The sequence below is a fragment of the Homo sapiens genome, chromosome 1 (assembly GCF_000001405.40).
Source record: "Homo sapiens chromosome 1, GRCh38.p14 Primary Assembly".
In the NCBI taxonomy this organism is placed as follows: domain Eukaryota; kingdom Metazoa; phylum Chordata; class Mammalia; order Primates; family Hominidae; genus Homo; species Homo sapiens.
The window spans coordinates 105,613,202-105,619,201 of record NC_000001.11 but is presented as its reverse complement, the minus strand read 5'-3'; the positions used below and the strand labels follow the sequence as shown (position 1 = coordinate 105,619,201).

Here is a 6,000-nt window from a genome sequence, read left to right as displayed (position 1 = left end):
AAATATCTTAATTACAAATTTTATTGTCATAATACTTCCTGGTTCCCCACATTTAGTGCTGTGTCATAGGATTTATGTCTTTTTTTACCCATTTATAATCTTTTGAAAAAGAAAGCAGAATAAGATTAAAAGATGGGCTGTTTCAGACAAGAGATCCAGGGCAGGCATCTTTGATATAGGGCCATTTTATTATTACACTGAATGTGACATCATAGGCATTCAGAATCTGGTGAAAAAATCTTCTAGGAGCAGCTAACAAGAATCCTAATACAGGAGTGTTTATGGTTGGGTTGAGACACATTCAGTAGCTGAGTGATTGACAGCAAGAGGAGCAAGACATGAGGTAGATTTGTATTATATTCTCAGTGAAACGGGATAGCTTTAGAAGCTTTTTAATAAAAAGGATATATGATCTAAATTTCCTACTGTAAGTATCATTCTCTGTATAGTAGGGAATGTAAATAGTACAAACAGAGAAATAATGAGAATTCATTTGCTAAATTTTATAATAACTCCATTATTTTAGTTTATACTCTAAAAGTATAAAGGGAACATTGATTATTTTATGATAATTTTGAGTTTTTTATTGTAATGGATAGTTTTAGCAGTATCATTAGAGTTCCTTAAGAGTTCCCCAAGAATCATTATCTGAAATATATTTTATTATGAATATTATAAATTATTTGGCAAGATTGGGGTAATGATATAAAGAATCATAAGTGGAAGTATTCTATTGATATATAGTCTCTAAACAAAATACCTCAAATATAATATAATAAATATATTTCCAATTATACATGTTCTCAAAATATGTTAGACACATTTTAAGCTAATGTTAGTTTTAACATTATTTTATAGTAAATATTTTATATTTATATGTTATTATGCCATTTATGACCCTACTAATAAACCACAAGTAATGTATTCTTGGTTAATTTTAAGATATATATATATAGTTTACTAAATTAACAACTTTTATTTAAAAATAGACTTTGAATCACAACTCAAATGTTTTCCCCCATCAATTTTGTTAATTTTTACAACATTTATTAAGCTCCATTAAAATTATAAATTCAGATGCAGCTTGACTTACAATGGAGTTACAACTCAATAAATCTGTTATAAATTGAAAATATTATAAGTAAAAAAGGCATATAATACACCTAACCTACAGAACATCATAGCTTAGCCTAGCCTAGCTTAAATGTGCTCAGAACACTTACATTAGCCTACAGTTGGGCAAAAGCAAGTAACACATATTCTATTTTGTACTAAAGTGTTAAATATCTCATGTAATTTATTAAACACTGTAGTGAGAATGAAAAACACAATAGTTGTATAGGTTTTCAAAGTTTGATTTTAAATGAATGCATATATTTTTTGCACAGTTATAAAGTCAAAAATATGTTAAATTAAACCATCATTGACGTCAGGGTCCATCTATATATCTTGCAGTATTTACATAAATGGGGCAGAAAAACAGATCCAACTTTTGTATCATTAAAATCAAAGAATAGGGAAGTGAGAATAGAGCTGCAAAATCATTCAATGAAATAATGACTAGAAATGTTCTAAATGTGGTAAAATACATAAATATACAGAGTTAGGAAACTGAGTGAACTGTAAATAGGATAAATTCAAAGAAACCCTACATATAATAAAGACCCCCAAAACCCAACAAGTCATGTCACAGTGAAATTTCTGAACATTGAAGACAAAGCAAAACCTTGAAAATAGCCAGAGAGAAATGATGCATTGCCTACCAATACAAATGACAGCATACTTCTCAACTGACATGATGGTGTCTAGAAAAACATTGCACGATGTTTTTAAGTGCAGAAATAAGATAACTATTAACTATGAAATCTATATCCAGTTAAATTTTTATCATGAATGAAGGGGATGCAAAGACATTCTATATCAAAGAAGTAGTAAAAGAATTTGGGATGCAAAGACATTCTATATCAAAGAAGTAGTAAAAGAATTTGGGTAGCAGATCTTGAGGACATCATTGAAAAATGGCAGAAGGAAGTTCTTCATAAAGCAAAGAAATTATAAAAGAACAACTCATGGATCACCGGGAAGGAAATACAACTGAAAGAATAGATATGTGGACACATACAATTTACTACCTTCACAAGTTGGACAATTCATTCACTGTATAATTCATGCAATAGACTATCTTCATGAGTTGTATAATTCATATTGATGATTGAAAATAATGACACCATCAGATAAAAAAGAAAATCATAATTAAAAGTCAGAAAGTAAAATATTTGAATGAAAGTCAGTCTTCTACACTGCACTTGAAATGTTAAAATGTTGATACCATTAGACTGTTCTAAGACACATACGAATAATGTAATACACAGAGCAACCACTAAGAAAAATATACAAAGACATACACTCAAAGCATTATGAAAAAAATTAAGATAGAATTCTAAAAACATGTTCAAGTATCCTAGAAGAAGACGAAAAAAAAAGAGAAACAATGGAATAAGAAGCAGAGGAAGCAAGCAGAAGATAAATAATAAAATGGGAAATGTTTCTCTGATATAGAATTATTTTTTTAATTGCACATGGTTAAACATGTCAATTTAAAGAAGCAATTGACAGAGAGGATAAAATACACAGCCTACCCATATGCTGTTTACTGGAAAATTTACTTCAAATTCTACAACATGCATAGATTTAAAGGATGGAAAAAATATACCATCAATTATTACTTCAAATGTAAATTACTGGACCATGCCTCCAGAGTCTGTTTCAGTAGTTCCAGGATGGGATCTGAAACACTATATTTTTCTTCATTTTTTTAACTTTGATTTTAGTTTCAGGGGTATATGTACAAGTTTGTTATAAATTGTGTGTCGCAGGGGTTTGGTGTACAGATTATTTTGTCACCCAGATAATAACCATAGTACCCTATAGTTAGTTTTTCTATCCTCTTCCTCCTCTCACCGTCCACCGTCAAGTACTCCCCTGCATCCATTGTTCCCCTCTTTGTGTCCATGTGTATTCAGGGATTAGCTCCCACTTATAAGTGAGAACATGTAATGTTTGGTTTTCTGTTTCGGCATTAATTTGCTTAGGCTAATGGCCTCCAGCTGCATCCACACTGCTGCAAAGGACATGATTTTTTCTCTCACTATGGCTGCATAGTATTCCATAGTGTATATGGACCACATTTGCTTTATCCATTCCACAGTTGATGGGCATATAGGTTGATTCCATGTCTTTGCTGTGTGAATACTGATGTGATATACATACAGGTGCATCTTTCTTTTGGTAGAATATTCATTTTTCTTCTCATATGTATTCAGTAGTGTGATTGCTGGGTTAAATGGTAGTTCAACCCTCAGTTCTTTGAGAAATCTCCAAACTGCACTTCACAGTGGCTGAACTAATTTACATTCCTACCAACGTGTATAAGCCTCCCCTTTTTTCTGCAATCCCCTTTTTTTCTGCAATCCAGCCAACATCTGTTATTTTTTGACTTTTTAACAAAAGCCATTCTGACTGGTGTGAAATGGTATCTCGTGTTTTGATTTTCATTTCTCTGATGATTAGTGATACTGAGCATTTTTCCATATGTTTCTTGGTCGCTTATATGTCTTCTTTTGAGAAGTGTCTGTTCATGGCCTTTGCCTACTTTTTAATGGCATTGTTTGTTTATTGATTGATTTGTTTAAATTCCTTGTAGATTTTGACTATTAGGCCTTTGTCAGATGTATAGTTTGTGAATATTTTCTCTCATTTTGTAACTGGTGTGTTTGCTCTGTTCATAGTTTCTCCTGCCTTGCAGGAGCTCTTTAGTTTAACTAGATTAAAACTTTTCAAGTTTTGTTTTTGTTAGAAGTGTTTTTGAAGACTTAGTCATGAATTCCTTCCTAGAGTTTTTTCTAGGATTTCCCTGTCTTAATTACATTGGGAAAACATAGTTTCAGCATTAAGTACTTATTCAGACGATTACAAATAATAGAAAATAAGAATATGGAAAATTTTGTTCACTTAAATAAATATAATATTGTGTCTCGTAAGTTGACAATTGTCAGGCTATATATTCATACTCTGCCATCATTCAAGTTTATAGTCTTAAATTAAAAACTAGTTAGCAATTTATGCATATATTTAAAAGTGCATTTAATAGGTATTCCTGTGTTGATGTTAGTTTGTGTTATTTTACTTGTATAATTCAAATTTGGACTTCTTTTTCATAAAATCAGAAGCATAGAAAAAAATGTCAATAACTAAAATGGTATACGAATATTCTGCTTTACATGGGAGATGAACTTTACTTATCAAATAGAATCAACATCAATGAAACACTACTATAAAGTGAACATTTGTCCCATAAGACTGCTTTTATAAAATAAAATGTTTAAAAATCAAATATCTATGAGAGCTAGATAATGTTTATACAAAAATTGTTTTAGATATGCTAGGACAACTAATAACAATGTTAAATTAGTGATATAAAGATTTATTAATCCCAGCACTTTGGGAGGCTGAGGCGGGCAGATTACGAGGTCAGGAGATCGAGACTATCCTGGCTAACAGGGTGAAACCCCGTGTCTACTAAAAATACAAAAATTAGCTGGGCGTGGTGGCGGGCGCCTGTGGTCCCAGCTGCTCGGGAGGCTGAGGCAGAAGAATGGTATGAACCCGGGAGGCGGAGCTTGCTGTCAGCCGAGATTATGCCACTGCACTCCAGCCTGGGCAACAGAGCGAGACTCCGTCTCAAAAAAAAAAAATTATTAAAAATATAGGGATTAAGAAAAAATAAATTATACTTACTCTTTCAAAATATATATATATATAGTTATAGAATGAGAGGTTAAAATTGCGTGCATTCATTCATAGAAGGTTGAGAAAGCTACAAAACTTTGTGTTTAAATAATATACATTTAAACATTGTCACAATTTCCAAAATTAGAGTTGATAACATGCCCCTTTTTTTTCAGAAAAAAGCTTTAAACTGATTATCATAGTATAATGTTGTCTAATAATTTAAAGTTAGTAACATTCCTTCAAAGAATAATTGTGCTAATAATTTTTAAGCCATGTGTAATCATCAAGATTCACACAAAAATTGTAATTATTTTACATTCCTAGACAGTGGAATAAAATAATTTTGAACAAAGTTAAAGTATGTTTTCAAATTTCATCCAAGACAAACTAAAGGGCTAAAAATTGAAAATATTTTATAAATCATTCTGAATAATATTACTGAATCATCAAGAGTATGATCAAGACCAAACATTTTTCTATATAAATAGGCAAAATGAATACAAATTGTTTCGCACACTATGAAGAACTCAACACTTATTGCAAATTCTAAATTCACAGCAATTCTCCAGGTAGAGGTTGATGGTTTTGTGCTGATTAGAAAACAAATGTGAAGAAGGCTATTTTAAAATAGGTTGCCTATACTCAACATAAGACCAAATCTAAAGGAGGTCAAATAATTTGTAAATGCAGTCATACAACAAAGCATCCATAGTTCAACTGGCGATAACATCTTCTGCTTAGGTTCCTGTCTATAATTTTTACGAATAAGATTATGTAATTCACAGGTGTTTTGTGATTAAATGTGTGACCACAAAAGACTGTAGAGAAAATCAAAATCAAATAATTTATTGAAATGAATACAATTAAATATTATATTTAAAATGATATATACATAATTTCAAAACAATATCCATGTTTTAAAATATAATTTTACATTTTTTATTTAAATAGAGTTATATGTTTTATTTAAGTAATAAAGTATGTCAAGGAATATATAAGGAAGATAGTTAATGCCTACGAATGTAATAAAAATATTTTTAGTGCTTTCTCAATATGTTTTGATTCATAGTTATTTAAGAAAGTACCTAAGAATGACATAAATTGAAAATGTAGAATAAATCATAAGACATTCATAATTGTAAATCATATAAATTATAATTATTTGTGACAATAAATTATTCATGCTTTTTTAGCTAAATCATTTCTGAT

At 30.4% G+C, this 6,000-nt stretch overlaps 1 long non-coding RNA gene across 2 annotated transcripts in view; it reads left to right on the top strand.

Moving 5' to 3' along the window:
* Positions 1–266: 266 nt before the first annotated feature.
* Positions 267–6,000, top strand: part of LINC01676 (long intergenic non-protein coding RNA 1676) — a 29,242-nt gene continuing 23,508 nt past the window's right edge. The window contains exon 1 of one of the 2 annotated variants that reach the window (NR_125955.1): positions 267–343. This is a non-coding gene — a long non-coding RNA (long intergenic non-protein coding RNA 1676). Of the gene's footprint in view, positions 428–6,000 lie in introns of both variants that reach the window. The other variant, NR_125954.1, reaches the window with a different exon arrangement.